This window comes from Homo sapiens, chromosome 19 (assembly GCF_000001405.40).
Source record: "Homo sapiens chromosome 19, GRCh38.p14 Primary Assembly".
NCBI classification, from domain to species: Eukaryota; Metazoa; Chordata; class Mammalia; order Primates; family Hominidae; genus Homo; species Homo sapiens.
Window position 1 is genome coordinate 23,339,787 of NC_000019.10, and position 24,495 is coordinate 23,364,281.

At 39.4% G+C, this 24,495-nt stretch overlaps 1 protein-coding gene across 9 annotated transcripts in view; it reads right to left on the reverse strand.

Moving 5' to 3' along the window:
• Nucleotides 1–24,495, reverse strand: part of ZNF91 (zinc finger protein 91) — a 90,468-nt gene that overhangs the window by 34,783 nt on the left and 31,190 nt on the right. For 5 of the 9 annotated variants that reach the window (XR_007066982.1, XR_001753754.3, XR_007066980.1 and 2 more), the window contains one exon: nt 18,644–22,939. Coding sequence is in view for 3 of the 9 variants with exons in the window: in NM_001300951.2 (NP_001287880.1) it covers nt 19,617–22,939 (3,323 nt within the window). In the remaining 6 variants the exon portion in view is untranslated. Of the gene's footprint in view, nt 1–937; nt 5,361–17,909; nt 22,940–24,495 lie in introns of those variants that run through there. The other 4 variants (NM_001300951.2, NM_003430.4, XR_007066979.1 and 1 more) reach the window with 3 other exon arrangements.

Below are 24,495 nucleotides of genomic sequence, written 5' to 3' on the forward strand. Positions count from 1 at the left end.
ATGAAAAAATAGCTAGGTGTGGTGGTGTGCACCTATGGTCCTAGCTACTCGGGAGGCTAATATAAAACGATCGTTTGAGCCTGGAAGGCAGAAGTTGCAGTGAGCCAACACTGTGCCACTACACTCCAGCCTGGGTGACAGTGTAAAACCTATCTCAAAAAAAAAAAAAAAAAATTAAGATGAAAATTAAAAATTTGTGGGAAAAAAGATGGAAATAGAAACACAATATAATAAAACCTGTGAGATACATCAAATGTAGTACTAAAAGGGAAGTTAATAGCCTAAAGGCCTGCATCAAAAAAATAGAAAGCTTACATATTAAGGACCTGACATCACATTTCAAAGAACTAGAAAATTAATAACAAATCAAATCCCAAGTTAGAAGAGGAAATAAATAAAAATCAGAACACAACCAAATGACATGAAGTCCAAAAACAATAAAAATGACCAACAGAATAAAGAGTTGGTTTTTCAAAAAGACAAAATTGGTAAATTGCTAGCTAGATTAACCACAAATAGAATAGAAATCTAAATAAACAAATCAGATATAAAAGAACAGACATTACAATGGATACAACAGTAATACAGAAGATCACTAGAAACGATTATAAACAACTAGACACTCACAAACCTGAAAACCTAGAAAGAATGAATAAATCCATGGAAACAAACAACCTCCCAAGATAGAGTCGGGAAGAAATAGAGTACCTGAACAAACCAATACTGAGTAGCATGATTGAGTCAGCAATAAAAAAAAATGTCTTGACAAAGAAAAGCTCAGGACTAAATGCACAGCAAAATTCTACCAAGTGTACAAACAATAATAATCCTCCTGAAACTCTTACCAAAAATTGAGGATAATAAAACTCTTCCTAAGTCACTCAGAGGTCAGTATCACCCTGATACCAAAACTAGCCAAGGACACAACAAAGAAAACTATTATTAAATTATTATTTATTATATTATTATTATAAAAAATAGACAAATGGAAATCAAACTAAAAGTTTTGGCACAGAAAAAAAAATCAGCAGGGTAAATATGCAAGCTACAGAATAAAAGAAAATATTTGCAAACTACGTGCCAACATGGAACTAATATTCAGTACTTACAAATAACTCAAACAACTCAAAAATATAATAATAGTAATAATAAAGAATTCTATTGACAATTGAGCAAATAACATTACTAATCATTTTTCAATAAAGACATACAAATAGCCAACACGCATATGAAAAAAATGCTCAATCTCAACTAAAAATAAAACTGCCATTTTTTTTTTTTTTTTTGAGACGGAGTCTTAGTTGTCCAGGCTGGAGTGCAGTGGTACGATCTCAGCTCACTGCAACCACTGACTCCCAGGTTCAAGCAATTCTTCTGTGTCAGCCTCCTGAGGAGTTGGGGCTGCAGGCAAGTGCCACCACGCCTGGCTAACTTTTGTATTTTTAGTAGAGACGGGGTTTCACCATATCGCTCAGGCTGGTCTCAAACTTCTGACCTCATGACCTGCCCGCCTCTACCTCCCAAAGTGTTGGGATTACAGGCGTGAGCTACCACGCCTGGCCAGAACTATCATTTGATTCAGAAATCTCATCATTGGGTATCTACCCAAAGAAAAATAGTTTATTATATGAAAATGATACGTATACTTGCACATTTATTGCAGCATGCTCACAACAGCAAACTGTATATATCAGAAAAGCTTAATATTCAAAATATATAGAAAATTCAAAGCAAAAGCAAGTATAATAATAACAATAATAATCCAACTAAAAAATGGTTGAAAGAGTGAAAAAAATATTTTGCCAACAAATATATACAAATGACCAATAGATATATAAAAAAGTGCTCAATATCACCTACCAAAAGGCAACTGCAAATGAAAACAATGATGAGCTATCACTCGAAATCTGTTAGGATTGCTAATATTAAAAAAAAATAGAGAAGTAACATCTGTCATTCATGTTCCTGTGATTTCTGAAACAAATCTTAATATCACCACTCCTCTTACACATTTCAGACATGATGGGAAAAGAAACGTTAAATGATCTAACATGCAGTTCCTCTAAAATACTCAGAAATATTCTTATACTCCCCCAAAACAATGGAAGAGCAGGCATATCATGCAGCACCTTATAAGCCATAAAGAGGACTTTAGCTCTCACGGTACCCTCTAAGGAAAATCACTAAATAGGAAGTAGGATCCTTAAAGAATTTAAGGGTATGGGACAAAAGATGCTCCTATTTGGGAGCTAGAGAAATAAATGGCTTTTTAGGAAACCTTTCCATGGAAGCAGAGCATTCTATACCACATTTTAAGGTCTGAAATTCTTTCTGACCTTCGTATCCCTCGTCTCTGTTATCTGCTTCATTCATGCTTACCTACCTGAGAAGCTGACTACTGTCTCATGTCTCTTCACATTCCAGGGCTCTTTTATTTGCTCAAAGCAGGATATCAGATCAGAGTTAGAGACAGCAAGGCCTGTTTTGTTAGAAAAATTAGCATGACTTTCTGGGATCCTCCAGTTACCAACCTAGTACTATGTTCAGTAGAGAGGAGAGAATATTATGAAAGATTCTAGAAATTTAATTCCAAAATACTGTTTTCTGACAGAAACTTTTGAATATTTAAAACATACGTGACATTTCTGGGTCCTTAGCTCTACTATCCAATACTGAATATAAAATTAGTGCTGGATATTGGATTTTAATATTTGTGCAACAGTATTTAATGCCACTGAATTTCTAGAATTATCATTAATCTAGAGTGAAGGATACAGATTAGCTCAAGAGAGGGGAAGGTTCCTATTAAGATAAAACATCTTGAAGATTTTCTTATCTATTCCAATAAACCTTCAAGTTTTTCTTAAAAGTACTGATCTAAAAATAATTTATGCAGAGCAAAACCTCCCAAAATCATTCTACAAAGGGAGAAAATAGAAGCCTGATGGTATATTAGAAAATCTGGGGTATATTTATTCTCACCGAGAGACCAGGTTTCTATAGTTCTCTAACATTGCATCTCTACACAAATTTCACTGAGCAGGATTCAGACATTCCCACTCCTCTTGAGAGAATTCTATGGCCAAAGCCTTGAATGTTAACATTTCCTAAACAAACCCAAACACCCACACATATTTAGCAAATGGCCATGGGCAGAATTGTTAATTTTACTCTAGGTGTTTGAGAGTTACAGAGACTGGAATTATCCAATAAAATATTGTTAAATAGAGAAAGATTCTGTAATATATTTTTGCATTCTGAGGAAAGAAAATGAAAAAAGATCCACAAAACCACTGTAGGTACTGTAGTTTTCTGAATAATACAGCATAAAATTTATGGCATAAACACAAGCATATACAGTTTTGAGTGCCATATTTACATTATACACAGTAAGTTCTGTCCAGTTCTCATATGGAGAAGTCACAGTAAGTTAGAAGGTACCTCTCCAATTTTAACGTATATATCAATGAGCTGCAGATTTTGTTAAAATATGGATTCCAATTCAAGAGATCTGAGATGAGACCTGAGTTACTGCATTGCTAACAAACTCACCAATGACATAAATGATTCTAACTTAAGGAAAATAGTTTGTAAAACATCTAGTGATAGAACCTGGGTTTTGTCCCCATGTATATGACCAGTGAACAAAGATGACAGCCTTCATTTTCCAAAGCAAGATATAAACAAGAGAAACTATTAAGATAAGGGATGTAAGAAAAATGGATGTGCTGTGGTCAATAATAAGCTGAGGTAAACATCTGGTTCAGCATGACTCAGTGAGTTTGAGTGCAGGTGCACAATTCTGCTCATTATGTAACCTAGTTCTGTAAGCTCATACTTGGCTTTGAGCCACTATCGTGTGTAAGGAGTACACAGACAGGTAGACAGGAGGGGAAGAGAGAGAGTAAAGCCGCTGACCCTGCACACATGGCTCATGCCCAGGCTTCTGCCCAGAGAGATAATAAAGCCATATCAAAACTGCCCACAATTCCTCGAGTGTTTTTCCAGCAACCCACCACTCGCCCACTGACTTCTATCAGACCTCAGCTTGGGCTGGAACCTGACACTTAGCATGACAGGGGAGCTTTCAGATTAAATGTGATTGTTTCTGCACATTAGTCAGAAAGTCTCTCGAAAATACCTGTTAATAATACAGTTTTTAGAAAGTAATTTTAAAGTGAAGAATTCCTTCAGGAAACATGCTAACCAAGTGAATAAAATGGACAGATTGGCATCAGGTGCGGATGCATATATGAGGATGCAACATGACTTCTGTGAGATTACTGGCCAAAAATCATAAATTATTATTATTTATTTATTTGTTTTGAGATGGAGTCTCGTTCTGTCACCCAGGCTGGAGTGCAGTGGCGTGATCTTGGCTTACTGCAAGCTCCACCTCTCGGGTTCACGCCATTGTTCTACCTCAGCCTCCCGAGTAGCTGGGACTACTGGCGCCCGTCACCATGCCTGGCTAATTTTTTATATTTTTATTAGAGACGAGGTTTCACCGTGTTAGCCAGGATGGTCTCGATCTCCTGACCTCATGATCCGCCCGCCTCGGCCTCCCAAATTGCTGGGATTACAGAGGTGAGCCACCGCGCCCGGCAAAAAACATAAATTATAATCTGAATCTAATCATGAAAAACATGTTTTATGCAAAGTTCAAGCCACATATGATGCCCATGTTTTGTAATTTCTAGCAGTCTATTTAAATACTGTCTCTTTAGCATTCTAGAAGACACATTTCTTTGAATTAATTCCTTTACATACACATCTTTCTAAATTATTCCAGGCTATTAATTCCATCCTTTTTCAGTGGGGATTTTAAAATTATGTTCTTCAGAGAGCTGATGAAGCATTCAGATGGAACCTAAACGGTGCACTTTTCTCCCTCACTGATATCTGAGGACCCAGCAGCAACCCCAATAAGAATGTTTTATATCCCTGAAAGATTCTCCCGAAAACTTAAGGGAATGAATAACTCCTCCTTCCACAGGCCTAGTCCAAAGGCACAAAGCCCCTTGCACCAGCAGCGTGCGTCAGCAAGAGAGCGGAAGCAGGAACAGTTGGCAGGAAGACACATACCCCCTGAAGATCCAGAGGGAGGCCATCTGGGTACAGCAGCTGGACAAAAGAAGCTCCTCAGCCTCCAGTCGCCTGTCTGTGCATGCCCCTCGGTCACTGATCTCACCTACCAGTAAGTATCCTGGGAGCCCAGTTAACAGGGAAAAATCCACACAGCCTCTCTTGCTCTCTCCAGTCCAAAAATCCAATGTTGGCCCAAGAAGGCTCTGGCATGTGCCAGGCACTTGCTGATCTTTTGGTCTTAGGGGGATGCCTCTAAGCCATTTGATCCCGTTCTAGGAACAAAAAAGGCAGTGGTGACAATCGCTCCTTTTATCATCTCCCTCCAGCTTCCCAGGATGGTCCCCTTTTCCCTGTTCTCTCTAGCCTAACCTCGGTTATGGGAAATCTCAAGTTTTCCATTCCAAAGGACATCCTTCTAGGCTGCCTCATAAAAAAACCTACAAACCTCAGGCCTCAGTCAAGATATCCGTGCCTTGTCTTGTTTTACAATTCAATCTGGCCACAATACGAATTGGATAATGGGTCCAAATGGCCCACAAACGGAACATTGGACTTTACAATTTTAACTGACTTAATCAATTATTGCTGATGACTGGAAAAATGAGGAGAAATTACTTATATCCAGGCCTTTTTTGCACTCAGATCACAACCCAACCTCTGCAATTCTTGCTCATGTGTTCAAATCCTCCTCCTCTGTTCTCACCACCCAGATTGCCTTCCTCTTCCCGACCCTACCTCTTTTTCCTCTTTGGATCCAGCAGACTGCTGTCCACCCTCCCAGCCCCTACCTCTCCCTCTCAACCATCTTCTTTCACCCCCAAGCCTTTTCTTTATCTTCTCAGCCACAATCTTCTCAGTCACCATCTTCTCAGCAGCAATATTCCCAGCCACCATCTTCCCAGTCAGCAGTATCCACTTCTTTTCCTATATCGTCCCCTCCTCAGGACAATTCTAGTATTGCCTGTACCCACTGACCTCCCCCACCGCCCTCTCCTGAGGCTTGTAAACCCATCCCGCCACTTTACACTCCTATCTATCCTCCACTGCCTGTTAACTCAACCCCCCTCCCCTGTTCAAACCCTCAGCAGGAACCACTTCCAGGTTCCTCCTTCTCTCCCATCCACACTTGCTCAGGCGCCACCTTTAGCCCATGCCCCACTCTTACTTCAGCGGCTGTGCTACAGTGCCCCCTTCAGGAAGTGGCAGAAACTGAACATGTTGTTAGAGTTCACATTCCCTTCTCCCTCACTGATATCTCTCAAATTAACAAAAAGACTCAGTTCATTTCCAGAAGACCCTACCTCTTATATTAGAGTTTCAGTACCTCACCCAGTGTTATGAACTAACTTGGCATGACCTCTACATTATCCTCTCTGCCACCCTCTCCCCAGAAGACGAGGACCGTATCTAGACCCCAGCTCAGGTGCATGCCAATACAATTCATCACCAGGCTCCTGCCCAGCCTACTGGTGCACAGGCAGTTCCCAACCAGGACCCCACTGAGATTATCAAGATGTGGTCCCTGGATGCCACCATCGAGACAACATGATTGTGTGTCTCCTTGCAGGACTCAAAAAGGGTGCCCATAAAGCGGTAAACTATGAAAAACTTTCAGAAATCACCCAAGGTCATAACAAAAACCCAGCCCTTTTTCTCTCTTGTTTAACTGACGCCATGAGAAAGTATACCAACGTAGACCCAGCTATCCCAGAAGGAACCACTAAACCTTTCTCCCTCTATACCGATGAATGGTGTGGAGTTGCAGTAGGTGTTCTAACCTAGTATAAGGGACCCACCCTCCAGGTTTTTGCCTACCTCTCTAAACTGCTTGAAGCCACAGTTCTCAGATGGCCTGTCTGCCTCTGAACATTGACGGCAGCTGCTGTCCTTGCCCTTGAAAGCCTAAACTATCTCTCCATGCCAACTTAACAGTTTATTCAATCCATAACGTCAAAGAAAGACATGCTAGCTCACCGCAGTTTCCTCTCTCCCCCACGGCTCCTCCAACTGTATGCTCTATTCATAGAAGCTCCGCACATCACCATGGTAACCAGCTCCCATCTAAACTTGGCCACGCCAAAGATCCTACATACTTCTGTATCAACACTGTTCAAACCTTTCTTATACCTTTTCCAAACCTAACAGACCAACCCCTTCCAGATGCCTCTTTACTTGGTTTGTAGATGGCAGCTCCTTCCTACATCAAGGATGCCGGCATGCTGGCTATGCTATAGTGTCACCCCCCCTACACACTGTTCAAGCCAATATGCTCTTCCTAGGCACCACCTCCCAAAAAGCTGAACTCATCACCCTCATTCGAGCTCTCACTCTAGCAGCCAGTCAACAGATCAACATATATTTAAATTCTCATTATGCGTTCCACATAGTGCATTCACACTCGTCCATCTGGAAAGAATGGAGTTTCCTAACTGCAAAAAAACACTCCTGTCATAAATGACTCTATCAGCAAGCTCCTTCAAGCTGCCAGACTCCTGCAGAAAGCTACCGTCATTCATTGCAGGGACCATCAAACCCCAGACAATCCTATTTTGGTGGGAAATCTAGCAGATAGAGAAGCCAAACAAGTAGCCCTACAACCTGTACAAGGCCAGTTTCTGTGCCTGTCCTCGTTCTCTCCTCTTTACTCTCCAGAAGAAAAGGAGGACTACCAAGCCCAAAACCTTCAAAAACAAGGACCATGGTATGTCAAGGAAGGGTGCTTCCTTCTTCCTCACTCTCAAACAATCTCTATCCTCCAAAGCCTCCACAACTCTTTCCATGTCAATTACAAACCTCTCCTGCAACTTCTCCACCCTATCCTCACTTGTCTTCACCTTTCCAGCCGTGTTTGAGAGATTACCCAGTCCTGCTCTATCTGCCACTCAGTATCACCCCACAGTTCCCTTTGGCCACTGCCTTTTCCTACCCACTAAGCCCAGGGCCAGGTACCCAGGCAAGATTTTCAAGTAGACTTCACTCACATGCCACCCAATAATGGCTCTGCTATCTTCTAGTCTTTGTCCGTACTTTCTCTGGGTGAGCAGAAGCATTCCCAACAACTTCAGAAAGTGCAAATGTCATCACACAAACTCTCAACATGCATATAATTCCCAATTTTGGACTGCCAACATCCATCCAGTCCAATAATGGGCCTGCCTTCCTCAGACAAATTACCCAAGGCATCTCTATATCCTTAGGTATAAAATGGGTTCTCCACACACCCTACAGGCCTCAATCTTCAGGCAAAGTTGAAAAAAATTACCTCTCTTGTTAAACTCACCAAGTTGGCTCTAGTAACCCTCCAGTGGTGGACAAAAAAATCTCCCTTTTTCCCTCATGAGATTCTGTGCAACACCAAAGGCACACTCTTTTTATAGTCCCTTTGAAATCATGTATGGCTGAATGTTGCGGGAAGTCAGGGACCCTGAACGGAGGGACCAGCTGAAGCCGTGGCAGAAGAACATTAATTGTGAAGATTTCATGGACATTTATTAGTTCCCAAAATTAATACTTTTATAATTTCTTACACCTGTCTTTACTGCAATCTCTGAACATAAATTGTGAAGATTTCATGGACATTTATCACTTCCCCAATCAATACTCTTATAATTTCCTATGCCTGTCTTTACTTTAATCTCTTAATCCCATCATCTTTGTAAGCTGAGGATGTATGTTGCCTCAGGACCCTGTGATGATTGAGTTAACTGTACAAATTGTTTGTAAAACATGTGTGTTTGAACAGTATGAAATCTGATTGTAAAACGTAGGTGTTTGAGCAATATGAAATCAGGGCACCCTGAAAAAGAACAGAATAAGCGATTTTCAGGGAACAAGGAAAGATAACCATAAGGTCTGACTGCCTTATGGTTATCTCTATTCTGCAGTCTGACTGCAGAATACAGCCATATTTTTCTTCTCACAGACAGCCTATGGATGGACGTGTGAGTAGGATAAATATCACTGAATTCTTTTCCCAGCAAGGAATATTAATAATTAATAACCCTGGGGAAGGAATGCATTCCCAGGGGTAGGCCTACAGATGACTGTTCTGGGAGTGTCTGTCTTATGCGGTTGAGAGAAGGGATGAAATACACCCTGGTCTCCTGCAGTGTCTTCAGGCTTGCTAGGATTGGGAAATTCCAGCCTAGTGAATTCTAGTCAGACCAGTTCTCTGCTCTTGAACCCTGTTTCCTGTTAAAATGTTTATCAAGACAATGTGTGCCTAGCGGGACATGGACACTCATTGGTAATTCTAATTTTGCCCTTGCCTTGTGATCCTGCTCTACCCTTTTGCCTTGTGATCTTTTATTGCCCTTTGAAGCATGTGACCTCTGTGACTCACTCCCAATTCGTACGCCCCTCCCCTTTTGAAATCCCTAATAAAAACTTGTTGGTTTTGTGGCTTGGGGTCGCCATCATGGTCCTACCAATATGTGATGGCATCCCTGGAGGCCCAGCTGTAAAATTTCTCTCTTTATACTCTTTCCCTTTATTTCTCAGACCAGCCGACACTTAGGGAAAACAGAAAATAACCTACATTGAAATATTGGGGGCTGGTTCCCCCGATAGCCAAACTTTTGTCTTGGGGCCTCTACCCTTCCCAGATTCTGAGCCATTCAGGAATTACCTCCCCTCCTTAATCCAGACATGGTCTTTCATTCGTGAAGCGGCAAATGAGGCCATGCCCCTTCCTGTCAACACCTCCTTGTCCTCTCAACATAACTGTCTTGCAGGCACAGATGTGTTTATCTGCCAACCCGAGCCTCACAAAAACCTACAACTGAAGTGGACAGGCCCCTACACTGTGATACGCAGCATGCCAACTGCAGTGAGAGTCCAAGGACTCCTCAACTGGATTCATCGCACTAGGGTCAAGCTCACCCCCAAGGCTACTCCTTCCTCCAAAACATTAACGTGGGCAACACTCTCGGAGTACCTGTATGTAATAATAATTTAAAACAAACAAACAAACAAAAACAACCATGATCCATAAAGGCAGGAGGAAGCCAAAGATGGCAACAGGATGAATGGCCTCCGCAACGGATCATCGAATATTAACAGTCCTGCCACTTGGACTGAGGATAGTTCATGGGGTTATTGCACTCCCATATATACTCTAAATATAATAATTAGACTACAGGGGGTTCTAGAGATAATCACTAACCAAACCGCCTCAGCCTTGGAAATGCTCACGCAACAAGAAAACCAAATGCGTGCAGCAATTTATCAAAACAGGCTAGCACTAGACTACTTATTAGCAGAAAAAGGTGGGGTCTGTGGTCAGTTTAATATCTCCAATTGTTGTCTTAACATAGACGATAACAGAAAAGCAGTACTAGAAATCACTTCAAACATCAGAAGAGAAGCCCATGTGCCAGTCCAAACCTGGAAGGGGTGGGGCCCAACAAATCTTTAAGGAGGGTGGTTCTCTAATTTAGGGGGATTTAAAATGCTGGTAGGACCAGTAATCTTCATCACTGGGTTCCTCCTGTTTCTCTCCTGTGTTATCCCACTAATAATAAAAGCCATTAAAACTCTTATTGAAACTAAAGTTAGCTGCCAGACAATCCAGACCATGCTCCTGCTACAATGACACGATGGATACCAACCCGTCTCTCAAGAATACCCCAAAAATTAAGTTTTTATTTTGCGAAGGTGCCCATGCCACCCCTATGTCATGCCTGAAGTAGTTATTGAGAAAGTTGTCCCTTTTTTCTATAACCAAATAGACAGGAATGAAAGATTCTCCCTGGGGTCTGAACGCTTAAGGGAATGAATAACTTCTCCCTCCTCAGGCCCAGTTCCAAGGTGCAAGGCCACTTGTCCAAGTAGCGTGCATCAGCAAGATAGCAGAAGCAGGAAGAGATATGGCCAGGAGACACATTCCACCTGAAGACTGAGAGGGAGGCTGTCCGGTACCATGTAACAGTTGCGTCAGACTGGGACACTTCCTTTTTACAGAGGACTATAAAACCCCTGCCCTGTCCTTACTTGGGGCTGATGCCATTTCAGGCCTCAGCCCGCCTGCACCGAGATGCTCATTAAAACAGTGTGTTGCTCCACATTGCCTCATCTTGTCTGTTGGCACGCTCTCAGGGTTCGAACCAATATAAGAGCCTTGCAATCCGCACCTGCCCAAGCTGATCTGTCAACAAAGAAAATACTTTCATGCCGGGCACGGTGGCTCATGCCTGTAATCCCAGCCCTTTGGGAGGCCGAGGTGGACGGATCACCTGAGGTCAGGAGTTTGAGACCAGCCTGGCCAACATGGTGAAACCTCATCTCTACAAAAACACAAAAATTAGCTGGGCATGATGGCGCATGCCTGTAATCCCAGCTACTTGGAGGCTGAGGCAGGAGAATTGCTTGAACCCTAGAGGAAGAGGTTACAGTGAGCCAAGATCACACCACTGCACTCCAGCTGGGGAGACAGAGCAAGACTCAACCACAGAAAAAGAAAAAAAAAAAAAAGAAAGAAAAGAAAAGAAAAATGCTTTCAATACTTCAGGGTATAAATTCAAGTGAGTATTATTTGTGATATGTAAGAAGGCTGGATGGAGAGAGTTAAGGCTCTGATAAATCGGGGAGAATTATTTTAAAGAGATCCTTTCACTGTCATGAGAAGAAAAGGGAAAAGGTAGTTAAAATAATCTTGTTAGGCAAAAGCATCAGAAGTAGAAATGTAAATGATTGCAATTCTAAATACATGACATTGTAGAAGAAAATGTGAACAGTTTTGACCTGGGACACACTTATCTAAGAATCAACCATTTTTTCTCTCTTCTCTAATTCTTTCTCAGGTGAGATTATCTGAACAAATCACCACCTTCATCTTGAGAATGTATCTTCAAAGGCATTAGGATAGACCCTCTGAAGGAAATAGACCGCTCCTGCAGGACCCGGGAGACACCCTAAATACTGTGAGTGCCCCAACTGCAGAAATGGGAAAGGGAGACCCTCCTCTCCTGAACACACACCCCCATACAGGGTGGAGGAGGCAGTAGGGAGGCCCTGGGAGCTCGCTGAATCCCGAAGCAGCCCATTCCTGCTGGATACCACAGGAATCCATCAGGAGGGAGGACAGAGGAGCAGGGTGTAAAACACTGAAGGGAGAAGGACTTCCCTAGCTCAACTTTGCAAGAATTTGAATGAGGCAAGAAGCCTCCTGGCCAGAACCCAGGGGAAGGCGAGAACCTGGCTTGCAGACTTCACAGGCAGGGAAAAACTAAAGCCCTGTTCTTTCCCAGCTGGGAGGCAGGAAGCCTTAAGAAATTTTCAAGCCCAACTTGCCCTCCACCTGGAAACAGACTCGGGGCTGTTGTGGGGGCAAAGTGAAAGTGAGACCCGCTCTTTGGTTTGCATGGGAGCTGAGTGAGGCTTATGACTGCCGGCTTTCCCCCACTTCCCTGACATCCTGTATGACTCAGCAGAGACAGCCATAATCTTCCTAGGTACAAAACTTTAGTGACCTGGGAATCTCACCCCCATCCCCCATAGCAGCCGCAGCAAGACCTGCCCAAGAAGAGTCTGAACTCAGACACATCTAGCACCTCCCGCACCCAATGATTCTTCCCTACCCAACCTGGTAGTGGTAGACAAAGAACATATAATCTTGGGAGTCACACCACTGCACTCCAGTCTTGGAGACAGAGCAAGACTCTGTCTCAAGAAACCACACAAAACACCAAACTATGCAGGCAACAAAGAGCATGATGAATGCAATGGTACCACACATTTCAATATTAACATTGAATGTAAATGGCCTAAATACTCCAATTAAAGGACACAGAACTGCAGAATGAATAAGAACTCACCAATCAACTATCTGCTGTCTTCAGGAGACTCAGCTAATACATAAGGACCCAAATAAACTTAAAGGGGTGGAAAAAGGCATTTCATGCAAATGGACACCCAAAGCAAGCAGGGGTAGCTATTCTTATACCAGACAAAACCAACTTTAAAGCAACAGTGATTAAAAGAGACAAAAAGGGACATTATGTAATGGTAAATGGCCTGGTCCAACAGAAAAACATCACAATCCTAAACATATATGCACCTAACACTGGAGCTCCCAAATTTATAAAACAGTTACTAATAGACCTAAGAAACAAGATAGACAGCAACACTGTAATAGTGGCAAACTTCAATACTCCACTGACAGCACTAGACAGGTCATCAAGACAGAAAGACAACAAAGAAACAATGGATTTAAACTATACCCTGGAACAAATGGACTTAACAGATATTAGAAAACATTTCATCCAACAACCGCAGAACACACATTCTACTCAACAGTGCATGGAACTTTCTCCAAGATAGATCATATGATAGGCCATAAAATAAGCCTCAATAAATTTAAGAAAATTGAAATTATATCAAGCACTCTCTCAGACCACAGTGGAATAAAACTGGAAATCAACTCCCAAAGGAACGTTCAAAACCATGCAAATTCATGGAAATTAAATAATCTGCTCCTGAATGAGCACTGGGGCAAAAACAAAATCAATATAGAAATAAAAAAATTCTTCAAACTGAGTGACAATAATGACACAACCTATCAAAACCTCTGGGATACAGCTAAGGTGATGAAGAGGAAACTTCACAGCCCTAAATGCCTACATCAAAAGGTCTGAAAGCAAAAACGGAAAATCTAAGGTCACAACTCAAGGAACTAGAGAAACAAGAACAAACCAAACCGAAACCCAACAGAAAAAAAGGAAATAACCAAGATCAGAGCAGAACTAAATAAAATTCAAACAAAAAAATACAAAAGTAAATGAAACAAAAAGTGCTTATTTGAAAAGATAAATAAAACTGATAGACCATTAGCAAGATTAACCAAGAAGAGAGAAAATCCAAATAACCTCACTGAGAAATGAAACAGGAGATATAATAACTGACACCACTGAAATACAAAGAATCATTCAAGACTACTATGAACACCTTTACACACATAAACTAGAAAACCTAGAAGAGATGAATAAATTCCTGGAAAGATACAACCCTCCTAGCTTAAATCAGGAGGCATTAGATACCCTGAACAGACCAAAAACAAGCAGTGAGATTAAAATGGTAATTTAAAAATTACCAACAAAAAAAGTCCAGGACCAGATGGATTCACAGCAGAATTCTACCAGATATTCAAAGAATTACTACCAATTCTTTTGACACTATTCCACAAGACAGAGAAAGGAGGAACCCTCCCTAATTCATTCTATGAGGTCAGCATCACCCTAATACCAAAACCAGGAAAAGACACGACCAAAGAAGAAAACTACAGACCAATATCCTTGATAAACATTGATGCTAATATCCTTAACAAAATACTAGCTAACAATATCCAAAAACATGTCGAAAAGAATATCCAACAACATGTCGAAAAGATAATCCACCATGATCAAGCTGATTTCATACCAGGTATGCAGGGATGGTTTAACACACACAAGTCAAGAAATGTGATACACCACATAAATAGAATTGAAAACAAAAATCACATGATCATCTGAATAGATGCAGAAAAAAAAATTGACAATATTTAGCATCCCTTTATGATTAAACCTCTCAGCAAAGTTGGCATACAAGGGACACAGCTTAATGTAATAAATAAAAGCTATCTATGACAAGCCCACAGCCAACATAATACTGAATAGAAAAAAGTTGAAAGCATTTCCTTTGAGAACGGGAACAAGACAAGGATGCCCACTCTCACTACTCCTCTTCAACATAGCCCTGGAAGTCCTAGCCAGAGCAATCAGACAAGAGAAAGAAATGAAGGGCATCCAAATCAGTAAACAGGAAGTCATACTGTCCGCTTGCTGATGATGTGATCATTTACCTTGAAAACCCTCAGGACTCCTCCAGAAAGCTCCTAGAACTGATAAAACAATTCAGCAAAGTTTCAGGATACGAGATTAATGTACACAACTCAGTAGCTCTTCTAATAACCAACAGCAACCAAATGGAGAATTAAATCAAGAACTCAACCTCTTTTACAATAGCGGGAAAAAAATTATATGAATATACCTAACGAAGGAGTCGAAAGACCTGTACAAGGAAAACTACAAAACACTGCTGAAACAAATCATAGACAACACAAAGACATGGAAACACATCCCATGCACAAGCATGGGTAGAATAATTTGTGAAAATGACCATACTGCCAAAAGCAATCTATAAATTCAACACAATCCCCATCAAAAAACCACCGTCATTCTTCACAGAGTTAGAAAAAACAATTCTAAAATTCATATAGAACCAAAAAAGAGCCTGCACAGCCAAAGCAAGACTAAGCAAAAAGAACAAATCTGGAGGCACCATACTACCTGATTTCAAACTATACTGTAAGGCCATGGTCACCAAAACAGCATGGTGCTGGTATAAAAATAGGCACATAGACCAATGGAACAGAGAACCCAGAAATAAACCCAAATAATTACAGCCAAGCAATCTTCAAAAAAGCAAACAAAAACATAAAGTGGGGAAGTATACCCTTTCAACAAATGGTTCTGGGATAATTGGCTAGCCACATGTAGAATGAAACTGGATCCTCATCTCTCACCTTATAAAAGAAACCAACTCAAGATGGATTAAGGACTTAAACCTAAGATCAGAAACTATAAAAATTCTGGAAGATAAAATTGGAAAAAAACCCTTCTAGGCATTGGCTAGGCAAAAATTTCATGACCAAAAACCCAAAAGCAAATGCAATAAAAACAAAGATAAATAGCTGGGACCTAGTTAAACTAAAGAGTTTTTGCATGGCAAAAGGAACAGTCAGCAGAGTAAACAGACAACTCACACAGTGGGAGAAAATCTTCACAATCTATACATCTGACAATGGATTAGTATCCAGAATCTACAACAAACTCAATCTATACCTCCGACAAAAGATTAATATCCAGAATCTACAACAAACTCAAGCAAATCAGTAAGGAAAAAAACAATCGCATCAAAAAGTGGGCTAAGGACATGAATAGAAAATTCTCAAAAGAAGATATACAAATGGCCAACAAACATATAAAAAATGGTTACCATCACTAATGATCAAAGAAATGCAAATCAAACCCACAATGCGATACCACCTTATTCCTGCAAGAATAGCCATAATCAAAAGATCAAACAACTAGATGTTGGCATGGATGTGGCAATCAGGGAACACATCTATACTGCTGGTGAGAATGTAAACTGATAGAGCCACCATGGAAAACATATAAATGCATATGGAAAACAGTGTGGAGAGTCTGTAAAGAACTAAAAGTAGAACTAGCATTTGATCCAGCAATCCCACTACTGAGTATCTACCCAGAGAAAAAGAAATGATTATTTGAAAAACGTACTTGCAGATGCATGTTTCTAGCAGCACAATTCACAATTGTAAAATCGTGGAACCAACTGAAATGCCCAGGAATTAACGCGTGGGTAAAGAATCTGTGAAATATATATATGTGTGTGTATATATATATAAATATATAAACACTTAAAATGTATATATACACACACATGCACACACACATACATATATATATGTTGGAATACTACTCAGTAACAAAAAGGAATGAATTAACAGCATTTGCAATGTCCTGGATGAGATTGGAGACTATTATTCTAAGAATGGTAAACCAAATATCGTATGTTCTCACTGATATGTGGGAGGTATGCTATGAGGATGCAAAGACATAAGAATAATACAATGGACTTTGGGTACTTGCGGGGAAGAGTGAAAGGGGAAGGGATAAAATACAGCATATATGGTGCAGTGTATACTGCTTGGGTGATGGATGCACCAGGATCTCACAAATCACCACTAAAGAACTTACTCAACTAACCAAATACCACCTGTACATAAGTAACTTATGGAACAATAAAATTTTAAAAAAGTATTTTTATAATTACAGACAGGCTCACATAATGAATTCTTCATAAACTATTACACAGGCCAGCCGGGCCTGGTACCTCATGCCTGTAATCCCAGCACTTTGGGAGGCCGAGGTGAGTGGATCACCTGAGGTCAAGAGTTGGAGACCAGTTTGACCAACATGGTGAAACCCTGTCTCTACTAAAAATACAAAAATTAGTCCAGGCGAGGCGGCTCACGCCTGTAATCCAGCACTTTGGGAGGCAGAGACGGGTGGATCACGAGGTCAGGAATTTGAGACCAGCCTGACCAAAACGGTGAAACCCCGTCTCTACTAAAAATACAAAAATGAGCCGGGCGTGGTGATGCATGCCTGTAATCTCAGCTACTCAGGAGGCTGAGGCAGGAGAACTGCTTGAACCTGAAAGGCGGAGGTTGCAGTGAGCCCAGATTGCACCATTGCACTCCAGCCCGGGAGAAAGATTAAGACTCTGTCTCAAAAACAAACAAACAACAACAACAACAAACAATTAAGCAAACAAAAAACCTATTAAACAACAACAACAAAAAATTATGGGTCTAGCATGAGTACCAGTCAAGTTAAAACAGAATTTGCATGGGGAGACTCTGAACCATAAGCCAAAAGATTGTACAGCAAGAAATTCAATACAAAGCAGAGTATAAATTTGCTTTCAGCATTTTTGAGAATTTTTGTTTTGTAGTAAATTAGACACCTCCTTAAAATGATTTTGTTCCAATATTGCTTTTTTCTGCTAAAAATAGTTTCGAACTTAAACACACTCCATAATTTATTTACACCTAAGATTCATCTTAGACTAACAGATGTGTATATTTAACTCTATGTAAATCAATACTAACAGTCCATATGTGCTTGCAGGCAGAGGCCACATGTTCGAAGAAAAATATATGAAAAAATTAAAAAAGATTTATTCGGGACTCAGAAATATATGGATTTTACTTATGTTTGTATATAAGTTTTATTATGACCATAAAAATAATCCTGTAGTCAACAACAATTTAATTGTACATTTAAAAATAACTAAAACTGTAGAATTGAATTATTTGTAATACAAAGAATAAATGCTAGAGGTAATGGAGACCGCATTTAGTCTAATGCGATTGTTATATATTGTGTGTCCGTATCAAAATATGCCACATATGGCATAATATGTACACATATTAGGTATCCACAAAAATTAAGTCAAATACATTTAAATGAGAAAATAAAAATAAAAATTTAGCCTATGGGAACAATATTCTTTAACTTAATGGCAATTAAAACTCACTGGCAAAAAAAATCACTAGAGATGTCAGTCCATTATCTTACCAAATAGTGTATTTTTACCATCTTTTACCTACACCCTTGAGTAAGGTGGAATAGGTTAAAGTTACTGGCATAATAACACTTCATTGAATTCATGATAGTATTTAACATGTTAAAACTGTTTGGTTGAAAAGTTCACATGCAATTTATAATTTAAAAATATGCTACATATATTTCATAAAAATACAATAAATCATACTAAACTTTAACTAAAATTAAGAATGTTTTTCTTTCATAATAATGCAGAATATTAATCTGAACATCTACCTCATGCATCACTCGATATTATAAGTTAACCATAAAGATCCTCTCTACTTAAATTTTCATCATGCATCTTACATTTTTAATGTCCTTACCTTTCCATAGAAAAGGTCATAAATAATGCCTCTTCATATTTGTAATGCTTTTTCAAAATACTCTTCTGTACTTTAAAGACATATTTTCTGATCAGTCGTTTGACAGTAATTACACTTCTTATTTAGTATGAACGCTCTGAATTTGAGTACGATGTGAGCAGGTATTAATGGCTTTTTGTCTATATTTGTTCACTTTTTCTCAAGCATAAATGCTTTCCTATGCATTAAGGTGTGAGCATTAGTTCAAAGCTTGGCCACATTGTTCACACTGGTAGTTTTCTCCAGTATGAATTATCTTACCTACGATCAAGTGTGACAATCATTTAGAGGCTTTGTCACATTCTTCACATTTCTAGGATTTCTCAGCAGCATGATTTTCTTGATGTTTAGAAAAGTTTGACTTGTCAAAAGCGTTGGCACATCTTTCAGGTTTGTAGAGTTTCTCTCCAGTATGAATAATATTATGTCTGTTAAGAATTCAGGACTTTTTATAGACTTTACCACATTATTCACACTTGTAAGATTTCTCTCCAATATGAGTTATCTTATCTGTAGTAAGGTGTGAAAACTGGTTAAAGGCTTTGCCAAATTTTTCCTGTTTGTAGGGTTGCTGTCCAGTATGAATTTTCTTATGTCTGGTTAGGGCTGAGGACCAGAAAAAGGATTTGCCACATTCTTCACATTTGTAGAGTTTTACTCCAGTATGAATTACCTTATGTTTAGTAAAGGTTGAAGACCGGTTAAAAGATTTGCCACATTCTTTATATTTGTAGGGTTTCTCTCTAGTATGAATTTTCTTTTTTTTTTTTTTGAGACGGAGTCTCGCTCTGTCGCCCAGGCTTGAGTGCAGTGGCGTGATCTCGGCTCACTGCAAGCTCCGCCTCCCGGGTTCACGCCATTCTCCTGCCTCAGCCTCTCGCATAGCTGGGACTACAGGCGCCCGCCACCACGCCCGGCTAATTTTTTGTATTTTTTAGTAGAGAAGGGGTTTCACTGTGTTAGCCAGGATGGTCTCCATCTCCTGACCTCGTGATCCGCCCGCCTCGGCCTCCCAAAGTAGTGGGATTACAGGTGTGATAGTATGAATTTTCTTATGGTTAGTAAGGATTGAAGACTGGTTAAAGGCTTTGCCACATTTTTCACATTTGTAGGGTTTCTCTCCAGTGTGAATTATCTTATGTTTAGTAAGAGCTGAGGACTCTTTAAAGGCTTTGCCACATTCTCCACATTTGTAGGGTTTCTCTCCGGTGTGCAACCTCTTATGTCTAGTTAGGGTTGAAGATTGGCTAAATGCTTTGCCACATTCTTCACATTTGTAGGGTTTCTCTCTAGTATGAATTCTCTTATGTCCATTTAGGGTTGAGGATGATATAAATGCTTTGCCACATTCTTCACACTTGTAAGGTTTCTCTCCAGTATGAATTATCTTATGTGTAGTAAGCTTTGAGGATCGATTAAAAGCTTTGCCACATTCTTCACATTTGTATGGTTTCTCTCCAGTGTGCATCCTCGTATGTCTAGTTAGGGTTGAGGATTGGCTAAATGCTTTGCCACATTCTTCACATTTGTAGGGTTTCTCTCCAGTATGAATTATCTTATGTTCAGTAAGAGTTGAAGATTTCCTAAAAGCTTTGCCACATTCTTCACATTTGTAGGGTTTCTCTCCAGTATGAATTATCTTATGTGTAGTAAGGGTTGAGGATTGGCTAAAAGCTTTGCCACATTCTTCACATTTGTAGGGTTTCTCTCCAGTGTGCATCCTCTTATGTGTAGTAAGGTGTGAAGGCTGGCTAAATGCTTTGCCACATTCTTCACATTTGTAGGTTTTCTCTCTGGTATGAATTCTCTTATGTTCAGTAAGGGTTGAGGACCAGATAAATGCTTTGTCACATTCTTCACTCTTGGAAGGTTTCTCTTTAGTATGAATTATCTTATGTGTCGTAAGATTTGAAGATTGATTAAAAGCTTTGCCACATTCCTCACATTTGTAGAGTTTCTCTCCAGCATGTATTATTTTATGTTTAGCAAGGGCTGAGGAGTGCTTAAAAGCTTTGCCACATTCTTTACATTTGTAGGGTTTCTCTCCAGTATGAATTGTCTTATGCTTAGTAAGGGTTGAGGAACGGCTAAAAGCTTTGCCACATTCTTCACATTTGTAGGGCTTCTCTCCAGTGTGTATCCTCTTATGTCTAGTTAGGGTTGAAGACCATATAAATGCTTTGCCACATTCTTTACATTTGAAGGGTTTCTCTCTAGTATGAATTCTTTTATGTTTAGTAAGGCTTGAGGACCAGTTAAATGCTTTGCCACATTCTTCACACTTGTAAGGTTTCTCTCCAGTATGAATAAACTTATGTATAGTAAGATTTGAAGATCGATTAAAAGCTTTGCCACATTCTTCACATTTGTAGAGTTTCTCTCCAGCATGTATTATTTTATGTTTAGTAAGGGTTGAGAGTCGCTTAAAAGTTTTGTCACATTCTTTACATTTGTAGGGTTTCTCTTCAGTATGAGTTATCTTATGATTAGCAAGGGTTGAGGAATTGCTAAAAGCTTTGCCACATTCTTTACATTTGTAGGGTTTCTCTCCAGTATGAATTCTCTTATGTTTAGCAAGGGCTGAAGAATGGCTAAAAGCTTTGCCACATTCTTCACATTTGTAGGGTTTCTCTCCAGTGTGTATCCTCTTATGTCTTCTTAGGGTTGAGGACCATAGAAATGCTTTGCCACATTCTTCACACTTGTAAGACTTCTCTCCAGTATGAATTATCTTATGTGTAGAAAGACTTGAGGAATGATTAAAAGCTTTGCCACATTCTTCACATTTGTAGAGTTTCTTTCCAGCATGAATTATTTTATGTGTAGTAAGGGTTGAGAATTGCTTAAAAGCTTTGCCACATTCTTTACATTTGTAGGGTTTCTCTCTACTATGAATTATCTTATGTTTATTAAGGGTTAAGGATTGTCTAAAAGCTTTGCCACATTCTTCAAATTTGTAGGGTTTCTCTCCAGTATGAATTATCTTATGTTTAGTAAGGGTTGAGGATTGCCTAAAAGCTTTGCCACATTCTTCACATTTGTAGGGCTTCTCTCCAGTGTGTATCCTCTTATGTCTAGTTAGGGTTGAAGACCATATAAATGCTTTGCCACATTCTTTACATTTGAAGGGTTTCTCTCTAGTATGAAATCTTTTATGTTTAGTAAGGCTTGAGGACCAGTTAAATGCTTTGCCACATTCTTCACACTTGTAAGGTTTCTCTCCAGTATGAATAAACTTATGTATAGTAAGATTTGAAGATCGATTAAAAGCTTTGCCACATTCTTCACATTTGTAGAGTTTCTCTCCAGCATGTATTATTTTATGTTTAGTAAGGGTTGAGAGTCGCTTAAAAGCTTTGTCACATTCTTTACATTTGTAGGGTTTCTCTTCAGTATGAGTTATCTTATGATTAGCAAGGGTTGAGGAATTGCTAAAAGCTTTGCCACATTCTTTACATTTGTAGGGTTTCTCTCCAGTATGAATTCTCTTATGTTTAGCAAGGGTTGAAGAACGGCTAAAAGCTTTGCCACATTCTTCACATTTGTAGGGTTTCTCTCCAGTATGAATTCTCTTATGTTTAGCAAGGGTTGAAGAATGGCTAAAAGCTTTGCCACATTCTTCACATTTGTAGGGTTTCTCTCCAGTGTGTATCCTCTTATGTCTAGTTAGGGTTGAGGACCATAGAAATGCTTTGCCACATTCTTCACACTTGTAGATTTTCTCTTTAGCACAGATTATTTTATGTGTAGTAAGGGTTGAGAGCTGCTTAAAAGCTTTGCCACATTCTTCACATTTGTAGGGTTTATCTTCAGTATGAATTTCCTTATGATTAGTAAGGGTTGAGGACCAATGAAAGGTTTTTTCACATTCTTTACATTTACAGGACTTCTCTGTAATATAAACGCATTTATGTTGGGTTTTGTGTAAACGGATGCAAAATGACTTGACACATTTTTTACATTTGAAGCATTTCTTTCCAGTATGTCTTATCGTATGTCTGTTTGAATTTAAAAATTTATAGAAGACTTTCAAATATTTCCCACATTGAAATACTTTGCTCTGGGCAGTTGTGAGACACTGGTTAAGTTTATTATAACCTTCTTTGTGCACCTTACACTCATCCACACTTTTACAACCTTTTCTTAACTGTAAATTCTCATGTCCACATTTTTCATATTTTCTCAGTAATACTTTTTGAAAAGAATCTTCCATGCTCTGCTCTGGCCAAAAGTCTTGAGGAAAATGAGGACATATACCTGAAAAAAAAAAACTAAAAATAATAAATTACTCCACTCACCTAGACTCACATGAATATAGTTTAAAAATCTTACCTACAAAATTATACAAACTACATAAACAATATGGCACTGCAAAATACCACAGGCCCTAATTCTATTTTTGTTTTTTTGTTTGTTTGTTTTTGAGACGGAGTCTCGCTCTGTCACCCAGGCTGGAGTGCAGTGGTGCAATCTTGGCTCACAGCAAGCCCTGCCTCCTGGGTTCACGCCATTACCCTGCACAGGCCCTAATTCTTTCATAGACATATATATGTAACAAAAACATACAGATCAAATTACATCTATGGAAAATTTATGAATGAGTTAAGTGTGTGCAGTGTCTCAGGGGAGCACAATGCAAAAAACCACACAGAAAAAAAAGAAAAGTCTGTTAAATTTACTTGACACAGCTTTTCCTGCTTCCCATTATAACAGAGTGCCTTTAGAAGTAAATTGCCAACTCCTGGTTTATGTTTTAAAAGAAAGGTAAAATAGTAGCCCATTCATTTTTATTTACAGCTTTTAGGGGCTTTTCCTGACACTGATTTCCCTCTCTCATGACATAAGTGTTGAAAGAAACCGTGGCATAATTTGGAATGAAAGTTTGAGTCTGCTGAGACCAAAGAAAAATGTTACAGCAGCAGAGAGACTGCAGTACCACAGAAAGGAAACAGGCATAGCAAGTGATTACTGACTCCTACAAAGTAACATAAGTAAACACTCTTAATTAAGACATAAACACAAAATTTCAGACAACACATATCCTAAGAACATATTTGAGAAATTCCCATAATCATTAGACAAGACAGTTGTTTTCAAACTATGCCAGGACAAAACTACATTATAAAGACTTTGACAGTTAGCTTTTTTAAATGTCCAAATCTCAATCAAAGATTATAATGTATACAAAATAGGGCAATATGATGCCACCAAAATATTATAAAATTTTCTGAAAGAAACCATAAAAGAGATGTATACATTAATTTTATGAATTGGTAATGAATAATACTCACTGATTAAAATAGGAACAGAGACAACTATGGAAAATCGGAAAAATGAGGATGAGAACAAAAATATTTAAGATTTCAAAAAAGCAGAAATTGTGGAGGTAAAAATATAAAAACTGATAGATCCTAAAAGTAAGAAAAAATGATGTAAAAATAAAGAAGCTCAACAAACTAGGATCACAGAAAGATATTTATAACAAACACATATATAAGCACAATTTCAAAAGTCACAGACAAAAAAAAAATCTTTGAAGCTGCAAAATAAAAGTGATGTGCCAGGCCAGGCCAGGCATGGTGGCTCACACCTGTATTTTAGGCACTTTGGGAGGCCAAGGAGGACAGATCACCTAAGGTCAGGAGTTCAAGGCCAGCCTGGCCAACATGGTGAAACCCCGTCTCTACTAAAACTACAAAAATCAGCCAGGTGTGGTGACACATGCCTGTAATCCCAGCTACTTGGGAGGCTAAGGCAGATTATGAGGTCAGGAGTTTGAGATCAGCCTGACCAACATGGAGAAAACCCCTCTC